This window comes from Homo sapiens, chromosome 18 (assembly GCF_000001405.40).
Source record: "Homo sapiens chromosome 18, GRCh38.p14 Primary Assembly".
In the NCBI taxonomy this organism is placed as follows: Eukaryota; Metazoa; Chordata; class Mammalia; order Primates; family Hominidae; genus Homo; species Homo sapiens.
This window is the reverse complement of record NC_000018.10, coordinates 27,785,654-27,807,157: the sequence shown is the minus strand read 5'-3', so window position 1 is coordinate 27,807,157 and position 21,504 is coordinate 27,785,654. Positions and strand designations below refer to the sequence as shown.

At 37.2% G+C, this 21,504-nt stretch overlaps 1 long non-coding RNA gene across 2 annotated transcripts; it reads right to left on the bottom strand.

Annotated features, from left to right (window-relative positions):
- Positions 1–2,075: 2,075 nt before the first annotated feature.
- Positions 2,076–20,752, bottom strand: LOC105372042 (uncharacterized). 2 transcript variants are annotated; one of them, XR_935323.3, is made up of 5 exons: positions 20,368–20,752; positions 17,645–17,886; positions 15,896–15,963; positions 4,135–4,237; positions 2,076–2,373 (listed from the first exon to the last, which is right to left on the bottom strand). It is a non-coding gene; the product is annotated as an uncharacterized LOC105372042 (long non-coding RNA). The 2 variants fall into 2 exon arrangements; XR_935324.3 differs by lacking the exon at positions 15,896–15,963.
- Between the last annotated feature and the right edge of the window lie 752 nt (positions 20,753–21,504).

Sequence of the window (21,504 nt, the reverse complement as noted above, 5' to 3'; positions counted from 1 at the left end):
AGTATTAATGTGTCACATTTGCACTTGTCATTTATCTTGTAGAGACAGAGTAATTGCTCCTAGAATATATGCAGCATGGTTCTAATGCTAACGTCTAGTTCTTCATCAAATGAGTTTACCAGCCACAAGCAGCCAAGACCACCATTTCTGCCCAGGACCTGCCTGGGACATGCCTTTTTCATCATCCTGGATCTATCTAGGTTGTTACCCTCTTTGGGTAACAATTCAAGAGTCTGCTCTGTTACAGCCACATTTGCTTTGAAACAGCAGTTACCCGGCATCAGATTCTTTGCACTGACTGTAGATTTCTCAGGCTCCTTGGCCTGAAGATTCTGAAATTCAACTACCAAGTTAACATTTGATAGTTTCAGTGTTTTCTTTTCTTTTACTTTTTCTTTTTCTTTTTTTTTGATACAGGGTCTCTCTCACCCAAGCTGGAGTGTAGTGGTGCCATCATAGCTCACTGCAGTCTTGACCCCCTGAGTTCAAGCTATCCTCCCGCCTCAGCCTCCCAAGTAGCTGGCACTATAGGCATTCACCACCACACCTGGTGAATTTTTAATTTTTTGTAGAGATGGGGTCTCACTACGTTGTCCAACCTGGTCTTGAACTAATGGGCTCAAGCGATCCTCCTGCTTTGGCCTCTCAAATTGCTGGAATTACAGGCATAAGCCACCACACCTGGCAAGTGGTCCCTATTCTTATAAGATGATGCATAGATTTTTGGAATTCTGGACCTGAAGGAGCTCTATGCTTTTATAATGCATATTCCAAAGGATTTTATTTCTACATGAGAATAATGTCACTGCACTCTGGTCTCTATTCTGATTTTCCTGTACATGTTGCAGTTTTAGTAGTTGTGGAGTTCATCTTGTTCTTTGATATCTGGAAAGCAGTTTCCAAGTCTATAGGCCTTGAACGCCTCCTTCACTATGGAAAATCACTGAATTTTCTTGTTATTTTGTCAAACATTATTTTACTCTTTCTTTTCGTCTCTGCTGCTTCTCCCCAGCCTGTTTAAGAATCTGTTGCACATTTGAGGTCACACTGACCATTTATCCAGGGTAACTAACTTACATGAACTAATAAAATAATTAAATGCCAAGCCTTGTCTTCTTGATGGAAAACAGGAAATGGGGATATCAAGAAGAGTGATACCAGTTGGAGGAGACCAATTAATGCACAGTGTGTAGAAAAATTGAGGATGGGGAGGTGGTCAGGGAGAACCATCCCCTTTCCCTACAAATCCTCAATTTATACAGACTGATGAGAATAATGTATTTTGATTATATTCTTATGATGTATTAAATGTGTACATGTATTACATGTAAAGTGTATTTTAAAGCCACAGATTTCTTATTGTATATTTAATTATTCATTAGTGTTATCTTTAGCCTGAAAGTTTTCTTATTCTATTTTTAGAGGAAAGGTAAATTGCAACACATGCAAAACAGCTTACTCTTAACGCATATGGAAGATGACTAATGCTTATTTGTAAGATTTTCCCCATAGTGTTAAAAGGTTCTGTGTATAACAGTTTTTCAAATAATAAATAATTTATTAAGCATTCCATAAATATTCATTACTGTTGTTAAAATTGATATAGTCTGTTACATTTTTTGATGGGATTAGTTTTGGGAGAGATGGCTTTTAAGAGAAACCTTCACTCAGTAAAGGTTTCCCTACCTTTAGATTTCACAGTGAATCAAATGAGTTCTGAAATACTATGTGTATCTTATTTATGTGTGTAGATTGTTATGCGAAAATTACACAGTGGAAACATATTTGTGATAGTTAGAATATACATTTAGATAGATGGATGGGTGGATAGATAGATGATATATATCTACAGATATAAATTCATATTTGCAAGCTTCTAGGATTGTGGCAGAAGAGGGTCGACTAAAAATGCTAAATCTCCCTTGTGGGCTGAGATAGTGACCAGAGAAAATTGTCTGTTTTCCTAAGTAAGATTCACATATCAAGGCAGGTTGCCCAAGTGTGAGAAATCTGAGCAGGGTGGCCCCTCAGAGAGATGGAAAAGAAGGCTTAATCCAGGCAGAAGTCTTAACAGCTGGGACCAAAATACCAGACTTCTGGTTTTATTTCATACGATACCAGGAGATACCATTGTTGGGTAAAGTTTGCAGATGACCAAAGGAGAACCATTTCTATCATGAGTCGCTTCCATGGGTCTCCTTGTCCACTTGTGACTCCAGCTTTCCTGGCTGTCTAGAGCTCCCCTTCTAACAACTTTCCTCTTCTTCCCATGTCATTTTGTCTTCCGGTAAGTTAGGGATGAGGTGGAGGAGGGAATAACCATAAATACCATTTTAAAAAGCCATGAATCTCTGCCTTTCTCTTAGTCCTGTCCTAAAAACAAACAAACAAACAAAAAATGAGAAGTTTTTGCTAGGGAGAAAGTTAAGAAACTTTAATTAATGTTTTAAAATTTAAATCAAAGTCTTCAATATTCAAAACATTGCATAAAAGTTACAAAAATCCTAAGAAATAATGTACAATAGAATTTTCATTGTAGTAACCCTTGCACTTGTGTTTATCTGTTTCTGTTTATCTAAACATAGCCATATTTTAAGAGCTTAGACTCTAATTATTATGCCTAATGTTGAGATCATTCTTGTTCATTAAAAGTTACATTACTCATGTCTTTATAAGCCTTTTTCAATCTTGCCGTGAATAAATTGGCATTTATTTTCTCTGAATGTGTTGGTTTTAAGTATTCTACTTATTCAAAGACTGCAAAAGATTTGTGATATTATGCAGAGGTTTATATTTGCCATGAAGTATTACTATAGGAAAATTCACCTATTTTAAATTTAAGAAAGTTTTATTTATAACTTTCATGTTTTCTTCAGTTTTGTTTGCTGTTTTTTAAATTTTATGGTTAGGGATCTTGAGTATGAAGTCTTTCTAAACGTGAATCACAGATTATTTGCCATTATTTTGGGGATGTGACATTTGCAACTCTGTTACTCTCCTCAAAGAAATGAGTCACATTAGATTGCACTCTAAGATACTAAATTATGAATCATTTCTGAGGATTCACACTCCTTTTTTTTATTATCTTTGACATGAGTCCCCTACAGCTGAGTAAATGTAGTTTTTGATGGCAATAGAAATTATAGGTTCACAATCCCCTAATTTGCCCGCCAAAATCCAACAAATGCTGAAAAGTGATAAATTTTTCATAATTAATTTGGTAGCATGTTGACCTATTCTGAATATGCTCAGAATAATGTGGTAAAACCAAACCTAAAACGACATGCAACTCATTAATTGATGAGGAAACCAGTTAGATGGCAAGTCTGGTTCGAAGGAGAATTTAAGTATATAAGTTTATATAGTCAGGCAGTCAAAGAAACGCTGTAAGAAATTTTTGTGAATAGATTTTAAAAATGGTTAATGACATACAAAGTAAAGAACTGGGTTATCTTTTCTACTCCACAGAACTCTATAAATTATCGTGTAATTTCAGAGTCTTTGGACTCTAATTAAAAATATTAAATAACATAATTAAATATAGGTGCATTCTCCTTGATATTTATATAATCTATAATTAAACAATGATACTGAAAGAACATGTAGCTATTGTATTAGTCCATTTTCACACTGCTACTAGGAACCTCCTTGAGACTGGGTAATTTATAAAGGAAAGAGGTTTAATTGACAGTTCCGCATGGCTGGGGAGGTCTCAGAAAACTTAACAATTATGGCAGAAGGGGAAGCAGGCACCTTCTTCACAAGGCGGCAGGAGAGAGGAACAAAGAAGGAACTTTCAAAGACTTATAAAACCATCAGATCTATGACAACTCACTCACTATCATGAGAACAGCATGTGGGAAACTACCTTCATGATCCAATCACCTCCCTCCCTCTACATGTGGGGATTACAAATCAAGGTGAGATCTGAGTGGGGACACAGAGCCAAACCATATTAGTTATCCTTAAACTTTACTTCTAATTTGGAACAATTTTCTCAACTGTACCCCTACCCCTACCATGATCATAACTAGTCTCTAAAGTTTATTCTTTTTTACTGAGGTAAGATACACATATATAATTTATCATCTTTACCTTTTTCAAGTGCACAGTTCAGTGGCAATAAATATTTACCTTCTTTTTTTCCCTTGCATCCCTTCCCTTTCCCCTTCCATTCACAGCCTCTGGTTACCATCAGTCTGCTCTTTACTTTTGTGAGATCCAGTTTTTTTAGCTCCTGCATATGAATGAGAACATGGATATTTGTCTTTCTGTGGTTGGCTTAATTTACTTAACATAATGACCTCCAGTTCCATCCATGTTACTGTAAATGGCAGGATGTCATTTTTTTATGGCTGAATAGTATTTCATTGTGTATATATACCACACTTTCTTCACCTATTCATGCTTTGATAGGAACTTAGTTTAATTTCATTATTTTGGCTATTGTGAATACTGCTGCAATAAACATGGGATTATAGATAACTTTTTGATATGTTGATTTCCTTTCTTTTAGCATATACCCAGTGGTGGAATTGCTAGATCACCTTAGCCAACTTGAGTGTGAGATGCCTCATTCATTGAACCTTTTTTTTTTTTTTTTTTTTTTTGAGACAGAGTCTCACTCTGTCACCCAGGCTGAAGTGCAGTGTTGCAGTTATGGCTTACTGCAGACTTGAACTCCTGGGCTCAAGCGATCCTCCCACCTCAGCTTCCTGAGTAGCTAGGACAACAGACATGTGTCACTGTGCCTCGTTAATTTTTTAAATTTTTTGTAGAGACAGGGTCACACTATGTTTCCCAGGCTGGTTTCAAACTCCTGAGCTCAAGTGATCCTCTGACCTCAGCCTCCCAAAGTGCTGGGATTACAGGCATGAGCAACCATGCCAGCCTGTATGTCTTCTTTTGATAAATGTCTTTTCAATCTTTTGCACATTTTTAAACCAGATTATCTATTTCTTTGCTATTGAGTTACTTGAGCTCCTTGTACATTCTTGTTATTAATCTCTTGTGATGGATAGTTTGCAAATATTTTCTCCCATTCTGTGGGTTATCTGTTCACTTTGTTGATTGTTTCCTTTGCTGTGCAGAAGCTGTTTAGCTTGATATAATTCCAGTTGTTTATTTTTGCTTTGGTTACCTGTGCTTTTGAGGTCTTACACAAGAAATCTTTGCATCGACCAATGTCCTGGAGTATTTCCCCAATGTTTTCTTCCAGTAGTTTCATAGTTTCAGATCCTAGATTCAAGTCTTTAATCCATTTTTATCTGACTTTTGTGTGTGGTAATAGATAGGCATCTAGTTTCATTCTTCTACTTATAGTTATCCCTCTAAAATTATTCCTGACAACATAAAAAGGCTACCCTCATTTAATTTTGACCTGATTATTTACGTAGGTACAGTAAGAAGCATAAATTCACAATATAAGGCTCTTCAAGCATACTGTATTTCATAAACTAAGACAAGAAAATTAACTTCTACATGAACATTTTCTAGAAAAATCTTGTCTTGGACTTTTAAAAGCCTCTATTATTTGTTCTTTTATCCTGAGTGTAGAAAACCAAGATCAAGAAATGCCTTCTGTGAAACTTCACATGTGGTACCTGTAAGTCAGAGTGAAATCCTACCTCATAAATATTCCCAGTATTTTATAAGATTCTGAATAGCAATAAATAACATTCCTTGCCCCTTTGAGTCTGGAATCTTCCAGACAATGAAACAAGTTCCAGGCCAATTTTCCTAGGAGGGCCTTGTAGTTATTGGCTGCACACATCATGTGCAATCCTTATTCTTTAATGGTGAGCTTGTGAAACCATATCAAATAAGAATCATTCTCAAATACAAAACACCAATTATGGTCCTGGTTGCACAATTAATTTTTGCAATGATACTCTAGTAAGAAGGTGGACAGACTCTCATTGAAAACATGCAAATAACCACATTTTCATTAAAAATAAGAAGACTCCGTAGAAGTATTTGAATTCCGAGGGGAATCAGATGTCATTTACCAAATATTTCATTTCAATTGGGAAAAGCATAGTCTCCTAAATTATGAGTAGAAATAGATCTAAAACAAAGAAAAAGAGCTTTCTTATATACTGATTAAATAATAGAACTTTAAACCTAATACTAAATGTATTCCAAAATAAATAACTACATTTAAATGTTTTCCATTGTTTCATTTAGTTTGATGTAATTAATTTTTGTTTTACTTTCAAGAAATTGTCTCCTTCTGGAGTAAAAAAACTTGTTTTGCAAATCCTGGCTTTGTCTTCAGGAAAAGTTAGTTGCTTAAGTAATGTCATCTTTAAGTTCTAAACTCTGACCCCTGAGTCTTTGCCTTAAAATCACTGGTACAGACCTTCCAATGAGTTATTGAGACTGCCTTTTGACGAAGATAAAAATTCAAGCCTGTGGTTTATATATAGCAGAGTCTTCAGGCAAGCATCCAGGGTAGGACAGAAAAACCTGATTGGTAATGAATCTAAATGCTGTAATTGATTTATCACAGTAACCAATAATATAAAAAAACGCAAGAGTATAAAATTCTCTATTTCAGTAAATTGCATAACATTTTCATGAGGATTTGACCAATGTTTCTCCTGAGGATAAGAAAACATAGTGGACAGTAAGGATATTAACACATTTCCAGGGCCTTTCCATCTATTCTGTAAGGCAGCGGTTTTTACCCTTTATCGGGCATCAGTATCACTTGAAAGACTTATTAAAACACAGATTGCTGGATCCCATCCTCATAATTTCTCATTTGGTAAGCCTGGGATGGGGCTCTATAATTTGCATTTTTAACAAGGTCCTGGACGATGATGTCTAAGAACCTCATTTTGAGAAATGCTGCTGTAAAGAGTATAATCCCTGAAACTGTTTTACTAATAATATTTAACGCACACACATTTATCCTTTGATTTGACAACTTACAATAGTATTGAGCTCATTGAGAAATATGGAGCATACCTGTGCTTTCTAGCATCCCTCTTTTTATAAGGCAACAGAAGACATATTTGTGATTATCCAGGGGCTGAGTGTAAAACCTCCAAGTTAGTTTTAGATAATAATAAAAAGTATCGTAAAAATTTGTCCTTTTCTAAATTTGAGTTCTGATCTTGAGAAGGTTAACTCAAGAGTTTTTACAAGTGATTTCTTACCTGATTAGGCAAGATCCAGGGCTTCCTGAGGTAGAATAGTTGGCTACTTATTGAATCAAGGTAACAGTACAATATTTTAAAATAAACATAGCAGAAGGTAAGGTGGCTGCAGGAGATTGTGGCGGGCATGAAAGTGAACTGCCCAGATTCCAGTTCATGGAGGCACTTGGTGCCCAGCTGTCGGCAGGCTGCCTTAAACTATCAACTCCCTCAGGGCTGTGCTCAGCTAACATCTCCCAGGGTGGCCCATAACCAGTGACCCATCAGGTCTTGGGTATAAAGCCCTGGCCATTTTGGTCCAATGTTGGATACTCTGATGAGCCATTTGTGTTCCGGAGCTCCCCTAGGGTTGGGAACTGCAGCGTTGTTTGACTTCTGCCAATTCCTTACCTTGCTTCTGCCCTGCCCTGTCCCTGGAGATGTTGAGCCCTGCCCACCAAAGTATTTCAGCATCTGCTTCTGCAGAATCCATTCTCTGATGACCTTAGCACTGTTATGAGAACAAACTTTTATTTGTTTTAATGATAATCAAAGACATTGTAAAGCAACACAAAGCACAGAAAATTAATCTGCTGTATGGAATACTATTTGGACAGGTTACACAGAAGTGAAGAATAATCATTTATTACCCATTGTTCAGACTAAATATTTTAAGATCAGTTGTCATTTCAACAGACAGAAACTGACTTTCTAGTTTGCATGAATACTTGTTTGTGTTAATTTCTAGCTGGCAGTAAAGTGTTCTCAAGCTTCTTTACAAATTAACAAGAATAAGTCCATTAAGGCTGTGCAAACTTTTTCAAAATTTTAACATAATTCATTATTTTCAGACTTGGATATTATAAACCAAGGTAAATAAAGTTCACTTCCCTCAAAATGTCTACAACTTGCTAGACAAACTTAAATTTTGTTCTTCTCTGTGATGTTTTATAGTTTAGAACAAGCTGACACTTTCATTTAGGTCAACACTGCTCTCATTTTTCTAGGAAAACAAAAACATATCTCATAATTTTGCATACAGAGTTGTATTCCTCTGATGCTCTGTTTCTGGTATAATCTCAGTTACCCATGCTAAATGTAACTTCCACCAAATAAACTAACTTCGATTTTGCCAAGAGATAGGTCATTCATAATTTTCTATCACATAAGCAGTTTAGCAAACTAGTCAGGAAAGCTCAGTCCCTGTAGCCACATGCATCAGTTTTATGCGTTCTTAAAATGTCAAGAATGAGCAAATTTAATAATATTATTTAAAACTGTAGCCACTCTATAATATATTAAAGAAGCAAAAGTACATATATTAAAACTGTACTTGGGTTTCAGTATTCTCTTTTACTTAGAAATTATCCAGGTGTCTGAAGATTATCCAATAATTAACTCTATTTAAAATTAGTCCAACTTTTTGTAGTTAACTAAGGACTTTGAAAATCACATTGAGGTTGAAACTCTACAGAACATCAGAACATAATTGCTGTTTATATCCAAAAGCCTATCAAATTTATAATTAATTTTAGTAGAACATGGTTTTATATGTTTCAAATTTAAAAAAATAATGTAGGAGTAGGGTTAGCTTATTTGATCAATAAACCTGTATAAGAAGTTTTGCAAATTTATTTAAAAATTTTAAAAATTCTTATACTAAACTCTAATTACAAGAAAGATATGTAGCTATTTTCTTAATCAAAATTATCAACCAGTCTTATTTGTCCAATGGTTCATCTTGATTATGTGAATTTAGATTATTATATACAACATGTTTCTGGGCTAGAAGTTAATTTGTTTTGTCTTAAAATGCTATCACATTTAAATTTCAGTTTATTTTCTGGGGGAATTTAAAGAATGTTCTACTTACATAAGCATTTACTACATCAATACAATACAAAGCTTCTTTATTTTGAGGGACTTTATCTTCAAATTTATTAATACTCCTCAGAGGTAGGAAAATTTTCAAATTCACACAATGAGAGGTTAAGGCTTTTCTCAATTATAGACACACAGACACATTTCACTTACATAATCTGAGCCACAGGTTTTGCAAAGTCAACAGAAACACAAAAACCTCACCAATTTCTGTCTCAAAGAGCTGTTTTCCTTTTTAGTGGGTACAAAATATATTCTTAATTGATTTGGGGACATAAAGAGACATACACAAAAAAAAATTATCTTTGGTCTCTCCCCTGACAGAGGGCAGATGTCCATCATCCTGATACAGACCATCAAGGCCTCCAGTGGGAAATAATGCATTGGCTGTGCACAAACTAGAATCAGAACTGAATGAGGCCAAGAACCAGAAACAAAACAAAAACACAGACAGGAAACTAAAAAGAGAAACAGAAAGTCAGCAAGAGAGTCTACTGCTGCTTGAGATTCACTCAGAGAGCCAAGAAAAGATGTGCCTGGGTTTAAACAACGCAAGAACTTATATTTCTTGGCCAACATGGATTAATTGGCCTTGGCAGGTAAGTGCAGCTGAGATCTCAGTGGTACTCCAAAACAGTCAAAGCACAATTCTCAGAAAAATTCAAAAACATGTCTCTCATACAAATATAAAATGAATACATGTCAATTCTTTCATTCAACCCATTGCTTAATGAAAGAGTCAGTAAGATGGATTCAAAGGAGAATTTGACAAATTCATATGTAGTCAGGCACACAAAAGAACACTGAGATAAATTTGCTCATAGATGCAAACCTGATTAACGTTTTACAGAGCAACACAACTCTAACTTTTGGGATTAGATACAAGTTTACATGTAACTTCACGATGTCTGGTCTCCAAACTAAATATTAAATAGCAGATACTCTCCCTTATTAATTAATATTCTTTGAGAGTGTTAAACAATAGCTTTGAAATATAATAATATGCAGTCATTTGCTTGCTTTAATTAACAAAAAGTTTCCTAATAAGAGAGCATACATAGATCTGTATTTACTTTGGCAAGTTTGATTATATAATTATTCAACTAATTTCCATAATGTTTACGGTTTGTGACATATTCTGTGAAATTTTACTTTTCCCCACCGTGATACCATGGTCAACAAAATAAAATGAGCTCAAACTGCCAGTAAGCATGAGTTGATCCAATTCAGTACTTAGAGACAGTCATGGTTCCTATATGGCATCTCTTTAAAGCCATTCTATTAAACAACTGCATTGAAATCACCTAAGATACTTCTTAAAAGTACAGATTCCTAGTGAGATATTGGATCTACTGACTTGAAATCTTTAGGGATGTGGCTTGGAAATCTAAATTTTATAAATGTTTCTAAATGATTCTTATGCACATTAAAGGTTAGAGTTATTTGTCTATGGGAAAGAAAAGAAGCCTGCCTAAGATAAGTTAATACCAAGAAATGCTCAGGAAAAACAGATCTAAATCATTTAGGCCTCCAGAGATCAAGTCACTGTTTGAGGAAAAAGGGATATTGTTGACAGACTATTCCAGGGTTAAAATCCTGTATGTACTTACGGGAACTTGTATTTCGCGAAGGTATTGGTGCTACTGACCACTATTTACGTAATTTTAAGTGTGATATTGAAAACTCTTGTTGGTTTACAATCTTTAATTTAACCTTCATGTAAAGTTAACAGTGAACTTTGCTGCTGAATAAAACCCTGGCCTCAAAGTGAAGGAGGCCAATTTGTCATAAAATACATGTGTGCTCTGGGAGAAACTGAGAGGAATTTTCTCTAAGGAAGGTACTGGCAGACTTCCCTTTTTACTTTACCTTCTGTGTTGCTTGTCTACATAAAATCCAGACCACTGAATTTTGTGTTTTAATACAGAATTTCTAGGAGCTACACTGGAATAAAATTTTAATATTTTAATAAAAATAAGTTAATTTTAGCTGGGCATTTATTACTTTAGAAGTATAATTATTTATTACATGATTTGTACCAAAAATATGTATTTGCTAAGCTTATTATTTATTAATAGTTAAATATAGTGTTTAAACAAAATGGAGCTATTACAATTCTCATCAGCTCTTGGTTTATTGGTGTGGGTATGCATATGTGTGTATTGAAGGGGATAGAAAAAGGGAGGGAGTAGGTAAAGAGTGAAGGATATGCATGTTAATATTTGAATAAATAAAATTATGAAAAGGAAAAAGTCATAGTAGCAAATCTTATTTCTTATCCTAAGTCATTTTAAAAACAATTTCTTCCTGGCCAAAACCTTTAGGCAATAGTATCAAGACCGCAAGTAGCAGTTTGAGTTACATTTGTATTACTCCTTAAAAAATTCATTTTCTTTGAAACAGATCTCAAATGTCTCAAATTCCCTTGCTTTATTTTAAAATTCCTTTATCAACAGACATAGAAAAAAAAAAGAGGCTGAGGAATGTGTCTTCAGCAGGATTTGGGATTTGGAGCAAGAAAAGATACAGGGAATCTAAAATCTTTCCATTGAAATGTCAGAGTAGTCCTCAATTAATAGGAGCTAAATTTTATTGGCTTTGACCTGATTGTCCTGGTGGAGGTAATCAGCAGAATGTTGGTAGCAGGAGTTCTAAAGTCTTAGAGGTTTCCTGTTAGCCATTATTAGCTATACACCTGCTTGTTGTCATGTGGGATCCCAAAGCTCACACAGTAACAGCAAAGCTTGCTTTCCCGTTTCTCTCAGCTTCATCAAGCCCAAGGCCCCAGGCACGCAGATCTTTAAAGTAACACTGAAAGAGCAGAAATGGTCTTGTGATTGTCAGGGTTGCTCTTAGACCTGGGTAAGAGGAAGCCCCTTTTGGAAGTCCTTGGCCAGGCCCTCCTGAGGCTGGACCCTTCCCCATGGTGGGTGGGTCTGTGGGCAAAGGGCTGTGTCCCTCAGGATTTTCTCCTCCTTCCCATTCTAGGCAGAGCTTTTCTACCCATTTATGGGTAAAACCCCAACCCCAGCTTTAAAAATTTCCTATTCTTGGCCCACCAATATATATTTTTTAATATGAAACCCTGCCCTTGGATGTTGCAGCAAATGTCAGATTGTAATGAAAAGCTCTAGATGCGTACTTTCACTTTCTGTACTTTTCTTGATGCAGACTAGTAATAAACAGTTCAATGACCAAGACAGGTTTAAAGACAGTACTTTGGATATCACCTTATAGGCCATACTTGGGTTCCCAGGATCTCCTGTCCAGAGGAACCTGAGCTTACCTCTAGGACTTGTGTGGGACTTTTCCCTAAATCTATACTCTGGAGGTGGATCACATAACTAGTAGCTAAGGGACAGCTGTGTGGGGGTTGTGGATGGAGTTTGGACATGTGGGATGGGGTGACAGCATACATGCATGCCAGGTCCCCTGTAGTGTGGGACAGAGCCAGAACTTGGAAGAGTGTGTGTGTGGGAGTTGGAGGGGGTGGACTTGGGGAGACAAGGTGCCATGTTTAGAGCCGAGAGATTCTAAATTTGACCCTGACCCTCCAGTCATTATAAAATATATTTATCAAGGCAAGGGTATAGAACATATTTTATTTAACAGCTTGTTAGACTGATTTATTACTTTTAATATTGAGACATATGGTACGTGGATTTTCATTTGTATTCTTGTCCAAGGCCTTACAAATGATGTTAAAGGCAGGCCTGGTTATGGTCCAGAAGTCTACTTCCCAGATAACAAGTCCTCTTTCATAATCTCAGATGCTGTTAATAAATGTCATCATTTAAAAGTCCTTGGAGGGAGCTCTGTTTTTCTCTGGATGTTGTATACTTTTTAGACCACAGGTTTTAGGACTGATAAATGTATATTTGAATCCAAATTCTTCTACTTACAACATATGAAAATTTAGGCAACTTACATAATCTCCCTGATTCTTATTTATCTGTAAAGTAGATGTGATAATTTACTATCTGTCACAGAAGGTTTTGGTTTTTTTAAGTGCCTAATACATGGTAAGTAGTAAATGAATGGTAGCTGTCATGTTTCTGAAGAGTTCTTTATTGTTGGCAGCTCTGATTACAATCTCATTTTTTTCAGATGTAATTTTAGAATTAGGATAGGCTGGGGACATATGTGCCAACAAGTGGAATCTATTCCCAACAACCCATCTCACCAAGACTGATGAAAATCTAGTCCTCTGTTGAATATGGCAACCAATCCCAAGAAGAGATTGCCTTCTGTCCACTTAAAAATTTACCAACTCTGGGAAATGGTCATTTTAATTTTTTGAGTTTGAGGGTTTTTTCTAACTTTTACTTGAATAAGATGCTACTGATGAAAATCCTTTCCCTGTTCTCGTGTTGACCCCGTCTGCCTAGCTTTTCAATTGGGATTAAATTTTAACAAATTCTCAATTGTGTGTGCTGATGTTATCACAGAATGTTATATCAGGCATTATAAATAATTCCTAGGCAATATTTAGAATGGCTGCAAGCCATTTTTAGAATTGGCTGAGAATTATTTACAATACCCTGCTCCCACATTTTGCCTGTCATATGTTCACTATGCATTTTTCTTAAAATCCTTCAAGGCAGTGAGGATATCGCTGCTACTGAGGGGTGTATTCCTGAGCCAAGTTAAGGATGGTGAAAAGTATATTTTTCTCCCCAAAAGCCTAAGTGAACTACTCGCAGTTCCTTAAATTCACCGTGGTTTAGTTTGCCTCCAGGTTATGGCTCACACCATTTCTTCTGTCTGGGGCCCCTTTTTTCTTGTTCCCTTCCTATCCACCCATCTCAATCTCTTTGCTAATTGCTACTGTTGCTCCAGAAAGCCTGTCCTGACTTTTAAAGTTAGATTTAGTGCCTCCCTCTACAAGTACCTTGTGCTTATCTGTGCTCTGTTTACTGGTCTGTCTTTCCCATTGTACTAAGAGCCCATGAAGGACAGAAACTGTCTTTTTCTCTATTGTGTGCCGGAGGGATAGTAAACATATTTAACAAGCAGTGGTAAATATTAACAAGCCTGGAAAACTGATAGAGTGGGGTTACGAAGGCTCCCTGCTGTGTCAGGGTATAAGAAGACAATGTGGAAGACTTCTAAATGAACCCAAATTTAGTAGGTGTCTTCAATAGAAAAACAGCACATGACATTGAGCACTTTCTCCTAGACTATTTGATTTTATGGAGTTTAGACCTTTCATTATCTTGAGCTATCCTATAGCTCTGTAGACAGAGAAATTAGCTTGCAGAAAACTGATAGTAATGTAATTAATTATTGTCTATAGGCATGTGAAAAATATCGTCTAGTAGATGTTCAACTGATTCTGCCCTGCCAATACCCAGCTCCCCCCAACACCCCCGTCCACACCTACTGTGGAAGAAGCCAGTGTTACACCTACTAAGTAAATTAATTTCAACATGTCTGAAGGGCCTATATTTTTCTGGCCTTTGAATTCTCCTTTGAACTGGTTGTAACAACTTTTCCAGTTCCTTTATTCATTGATTAATGAGTTAAATAAAATCTTTGACACCCGTTCATTTTATGTCTGTATGAGAGTCATGATTATAACTTTTTTCTTTATAAAAACTATCTTAAAGGGACGTAGAGATTTTCTACTGAGATTCTTTAGGGGAAAAAAATCTAACGAAGAACAAATCTTCCTCTTTCATGAAAGGCTAAGGTTCTTTTTAGTTGTGTTACCTTTATGTTTACTTTTAAATGCTTTGTTGTCTCTTTGATTAAATGAACAATCATGTATTGTCTCTCAGGCACCCACAGGAGGTTCTATCTTAATCACATGTCTAAATTTCCTCTGACATCCTTTTTGATTTTTGCCTTCAAAAAATCAAATTCTAAGAAAAGAAAAAATAAAACTTTCAGAGTATCTTTTATACCTAAAACTATCCTTGAGATTTCCCAGAAGATCTCTGGAAAATTAATGATTAGTTTCTATTAAATGATGCTAGAAATAATTAGGTTTGTTTAACGAATTGGCACAGCAGAAGAGATGCTCAGATTTCCCAAGGTTAAATTTCAATACATAAGACGTATTAATATAAATATTTCAGAAATTGTGTGTTGTTTTCATGGGAAATTCTTAGAGGTCTATCAATGCCCACATTATCTAAAATATGTTCCTATTGATCAGAATTCTGGTGGTAGTTTGCCTGATAATATTCTGCAAAAATAGTATAGTGTTAGCAGTCAATTTCAGCTATTTTTTAAAATGCCTACTTGGAACAAACCTACTTTTATAATTTGAATCTAGCATCGTCTGGCCGGTGATTCTAAATTAGAGAGGCACATCAGACTTACCCATAGAGTTTTATAAAAATACACATGTCTAGTCACTACTCCAGAGTTACTGAATTTCTTTACTTGATATTCCTGGTATAGTCTTGATATATTATGTATGCAACATCTCGGAAATATTGTATATTATATCTCAGGTTTTTTCTCTATAAAAATTATATTCATGCATTTATAAATTAGATATAACATTTGTATATGGACTTAATATTATCCTTAGAAATATTTTGTCTAAACTCAATATTATCCTTAGAGATATTTTGTCTAAACTTTTTTTGGAATGGTAATATGATTTTGTTTTGTATCCCACAGAAGAAACCAAATTTCAGTTGCTTTGTTCTGAACTAATATAAGATCTTTCATATTTGAAAATTATCAGTAATAAATAACCATACCTATTTCACATTTCTGTCAAGTGCAGATAACTTTTACTTTACTTACTTTACTCTGATTCTCACCTGAATAAGCAGAATTGTATCAACATTTGTGTTGCCAAAGATCAATAAGAATTATCTAAGAATAAATTCTTGTGTAAAGATGGCATTGCTTACCAATGGGCCGAGTCAGGATTTTCAAACTCTTTTTAGCCAAGAGGCATAAGGCTTCTTGAATCCAAGATCTGGTGGAACATAATTTAATTACATAGGACCGAATGAACTGATGAGGAAATTTTTATTATAGATCTTTATTTAGGATACTGTTGGTGTTCTTTTAATGTACTCTCTTCTTTATCTGCAAGCAAGTCCTCCTTTTTTATTCTTAACCTATCTGTAACCAATAACAGTTTAGTAGATGCTGCTATTGGAAACGAAAATGAAGCATTTTTAAATGATATCTAATTGTCACTAACCCGTTTCCCTCTCCCTTCCTCCCCTGCCTCCCGTAACCCCAAATCAGAAATTCTTACTCAATCTCCTTATTGTTCATGGAAAAATAGTTATTTCAACAGGCTCAATAAGAATCTGTCCACCTTTATACCATGATATAATTAGAAAAATCAGGTATGCAACTAAGTTCTTGCCTGGAATGTCATATTTGAGAATAATTCTCATTAATCAGGTGTGACAGCCACTGTTAAGAGAATAAAATTGAATATTTTACTTATGACTTTCTTATGGAACCAATGCCCATAAAGGCCTCTCAGAAAGACTGGCCTGGAACCTGGCTTACAGAGGCCCTGCCTGACACATACTGAGAAAAGCTACCTTCTGCTAGACCAGGGACATTGAGAAGAGAGGAATTCGCCCACATTTGTAGGAACTGCAGGTAAAATTAGGTCAAGAGAGTTTTTTGGGCTTAGTTTCCTAGCTTTGGCATAACAAATAACAGGCACTTTGAAAAGCCCAAACTGAAATTCTTTACGAAAACTTCCCAACAGAGGTTAATTTTGTGATTATTCAATACCGCAGAGCTCTAGATTTCCAAAGCAAACTGTAGAAGTCCTCTCACTGCAGCTGTGCAAACGATCAGGCCAATTGTAATGAGACTGGCCTTACGAGAAATTTTCCTTATCATTATTCTTGATCAAGGTTGGGGAGATAGTAACAAAAAATTTGAAAGATTTTTAATTGGGCCAAAAGATTGCCAGGTGTCATCCGTGGAAAACTGTGCCTTGTTTGAAGCACACCGTTCAGTTCAGGATTAGCTGATTCTACAGGGTTTGTGCTTTTAATTGTCTGAGTTATTTTATAATTGTATAGAGATAACTAGATATAGTTAACTCTATAGAAGCAAATTGTACAACACTGATATAAGGCAAATAATTCTTGTCTGTAGACATGCAAAGAATTGTTGTGCTGTAGAAATTCAATTAACTTCCCTCTCTGCTGTGGAGGAAGCCAGTTTTGCATTGCTTAGCCAAGTTTGTTTCAACATTCCCTCCTGATGGGCTTATACATTTGTCTGGTCTTCAGGTTCTCACTGAGGTTTTTGTGACAGCTTTTCCAGTTATCTCATCATTTAATAAGTTAAATAAATTGTTGACATTTGTTTATATCTGTATAAGAGCTGTGATGATACCCTATTTTGAAAAAATTTCCTTGAACTAGGTATAAACCTTTCTACTACTGGATGACAAACATCCCTGGAAGTTTGGGGAAGAGTCACTGGGGAGCTTAAGGTAGCCACTATAACTAGTGAAATTATTTTAACACCTGAAGAACTGGTTTGTCTTCATGTTGTCTGAATACTAGCCTGGTCATGTCCTAGTATTTGCATAGTACCTACCAGGAGCAGGCACACCAAAAGCCACATCCACCCCCACTATCACATTGAATCATAGATTAAAAAAAGAAAAAGACCTGTATAGATGGTTGGATGGAGACATGGTTTGGACATTTGTCAACTCCAACTCTCATGTTGAAATGTGATTCCCAGTGTTGGAAGTGGAGCCTAGTGGAAGGTGTTCGGATCACAGGCGCAGATCCCTCATGAATGGCTTGGCACCATCCCCTTGGTGATAAATGAGTTCTTGCTCAGTTAGTCCACGGGAGATATTTGTGTTCAAATTTTCTCATGATTCCACAAAAATTCCAGACAATTCCTAGAATAAAAACACAAAAATAATAAAGCATTTTTTTATGTAGAGTTAGTAGCTCAGGTAAGGAAGTTTTAGGAAACTTCCTAGAGCTACTTCTCCGATTAATAATAATTAACATTTAATAAACATGTGCTATGCATATGCCTGTTACCACTGTAAGAATGTTACTCATATTCCCTAATTTAATCCTAAATAGACCTAAGACCAACATATTTCTATTAGATCCATTTTTTATATGAAAACAATGGGGCACAGAGCTATTAACTTGCTCAGATTATATAGCTAGTTGCATTCTCAGGATGCTAACACAGACATTCCTAACTGTTCTCCTATATCACTTCTCATGAAATGTGAGCTTAAAAAGCTTACAATTGAGTGGGCCCAGCGGCTCACGCCTGTAATTCCAGCACTTTGGGAGGCCAAGGTGAGTGGATCACATGAGGTCAGGAGTTCAAGACCAGCCTGGCCAACATGGTGAAACCCTGTCTCTAGTAATAATCCAAAAAAAAATTAGCCAGGCATGGTGACACATGCCTGTAATCCCAGCTACTCAGGAGGCTGAGGCAGGAGAATTGCTTCAACCCAGGAGGTGGAGGTTGCAATGAGCAGAGATCACACCATTGCACTCCTGCCTGGGCAACAAGAGTAAAATTCCATTTCCAAAATAAATAAATGAATAAATAAAAGCTTACAACTGTTCACATATCATAGTTTTCTTTTAAGATTAGAGTCAATTTACTCAGTTGGTCTTCTGATCAAAATTTTATTTCCCCTGCAGTTCTCACAACAGCCCTATAAGAGAGGTGGTCTTATTCCCATTTTGCAGATAAGAAAACTAAGGCTAAACTGTCATAATATTTAAATTTATCACCACAATGTAACATTTGCTGTGAAACGTTTTCTGCTGAATTAGCCCATATTCTTTTCTACTGTGCCCACATGTGCTTTGCCTGGTTTTAATTTGTATAATTGCTCGAAGCTACATTTCCTTTGTTATAGGCATGTGATTTCCGACCTCTGGCCTCTGCACCTGTTAAAGTCTGGCGTGCTCAACTCTGTCCCTCATGGAGTAGGTGCACCCCTCTCTAAGAGGAGCCTTTTCATGCTCTTGAGGGCACTTGGGAAACTGTTTTGGGACGTTATTGTCCCTGTCAGTGGAAGATGTAAAGGACATAGCCAACCAAGTAAGAGGATCACAAAGGTAAGCCCAGAGATAAGCACATCTTCGAGGGGAGTGATGTCCCTTCTTTTTCTTTGTCTTGCCATCCTATGTACTGTATTCACTAGCTTTAAGTGAGTACTTTTTTTCTTTTTTTTTCCTTTATTAGCAGTTTTTCTGCATGCTTTGTCCATCTCCTTTGATCTGGACTTCTGTCAGAGGAAGAATCACAGCACTGTTGCTCCCGTGGCAATCCTAGTATTGCTCTGTAATGACTTCAGTGGTGTGTTCTTGGCTGCCTCTAGCTTGATTTCAGCTGCTTTTTGTTCACTCAGTGGCAGATTGTTAAATAACATGTGTTTCTTATGTACCAAGTTCCTCATCCATGTGGCATCTGACATTTTCATTATTGCATGTAACAAACTTCACAGCATCTACAGTTGCAGTCCTTAGCTCTTAGTTCAGCATTTACTTATGCTGGGTCTTTGCTCTCTAACACACAGAGACATTGCCAACCCATTGGGGTAGATCAGTCAATGTGAAAAATAGATGTGTTGTTTGTTTCTTGTAGCCACTGTGTGTGTTAAAGCTGGGGCTTAGTTCCTCTTTCTGGCACGGGAACATGGAAAACTTCCACCTCTGCTGCTGTAGGGGTGGGTGGAGACGAGAAGCCATCTTCACCTCTGCCTGAAGGGATGGGTGGAGACAAGAAGCCAAACTCCCTCTGGAGCTCCAGCCTCTGTTTCCAAGTGCTGGTGAATGTCATGGAGATGCTTTTGTTTTAGCATGTTTAAAATCGGACTCACTCACCTCTTTTCTCTTATCTCTGAATCTTCTCCCTTCCCCTCTGTTTCTATTAAAGCAATCGCCATTTCCCCATTAATTCCTTCTCTGAAACTGCTTTCTCTGCCTCTTTTCATGCTTGATATCTACCTGGTTGCAAGTCTTGCCACTTTACCTTTTGTACCTCGCTGCTATCATCCCTCTTCAAATTCTCTACGTTTAGTTCCTCTGTATTATTCGCTTTTTCTTCAAGAATTACATTTAGGCAGGACTCCATATCCCCATATTTTCATACAGTTGCCTATCACCTTCCACCATATTAGGTCCTAGAGAGATCTTTGCACAATGGGGAGGGGGTGTCCCAGACAAAAGTGTCTTCCTTATTACTAATTAGGGTTTGAGTTTCAAAACACTTTCAGCTCTGCTCCAGTGAAGGGGGCTGGGCTGTATTTGAGATTCGAACCCACCTTCCCTCCAACTCCCATACTCCTTACTGCGGAGAGAAGATATCGTTTAGGCCACGTGTTCCAGCTGTTCCTTACCTGAAACTTACTGAATTTGGCTGGAAAAGGGAAGTCTGCCTTCCAAGCAGGAGGGATGCCAGACATTGCTCTACTAATCAGATAAATTCAAATATGAGCCAAATTATTTAAAAAGTAACTTTCGGCTCTTCTTGCCTCCCACCAATCCTTCATGCTACTAAGGCAACCCCATCCTCCACCCTTCTGGATCCCATTCTGGCCTTGACGTCCCTCCACAGAGCTTAGACTGGAGAAGCAACAAAGGACCAGTTAACTTCAGTTGGATGCAGCCTTCCTGCCTCGTGCTCCTCTCTGCCTGTGCGTCCTCTGCACACACAGCTTCTTAAAATGTGAAGTCACTGCACCTACTTCAATTGCTTCAGAAACGGCGTAGTACATTCAGAACAATGGCCACACTTCCTGTCTCTCCTCTCTGACTCTTCTGCCCCATCCCCCACTTGTCCCGGTTCCTCGCCAGCCCAGCTGGACTGCACTGGCACCTGCTACTCTCGTTACCGGAGACATGGCCACTGCATTATTCAGTAGCTCCTCTTAGGATGTATACTTTAGTGTTCAGTGAAGTGGTTCTGCACTCCGTGGGGTGCGAGCATGAAAAGGTTTTATTTTTATTCAATCATCACTTTAAACCGTGTTCTGTTGACTCGCTCTTTTGTCCCCTGAGCTTGGGAACAGCAGTACATTCACTTTCAGTTATTAAAATCTGGATCAATCTGGCTCAGACCTCAAGTGTCATGCCTTCCTTAGCCAGTGCAGGGCTAAGCCCTGCCCTGACGTATCCTCACCTGCTGTCGGCAGTGGCGGGGAGGTCTGCTTTGTCACCTCCACGCCTCCCTTCCTCAGGGTCTTAAGCTTCTCTGGGGTGGGAGACACTGGGAGGAGACGAGAAGAAGGGAGCGATGGCAGGGATGGTTCTCTGTGTGTTCTTTTTGAGGTGGTATTCCATGCTGCTGTCCTCCAGAAGGCCCTCCACACTGCATAATTCCTGGGCGGGGTAGAGGAGAGCAGGGGGAGAGGAGGAAGTTCCCTCCAGATGTTCCAGAAAGTGTGAGGAAAGACTCACCTTTTAAGTGAACCTTAACTGGCAGGCAGAAGTCCAAGTATATTCTTGAAATCATTGGACTCTTATTGGGATCATCT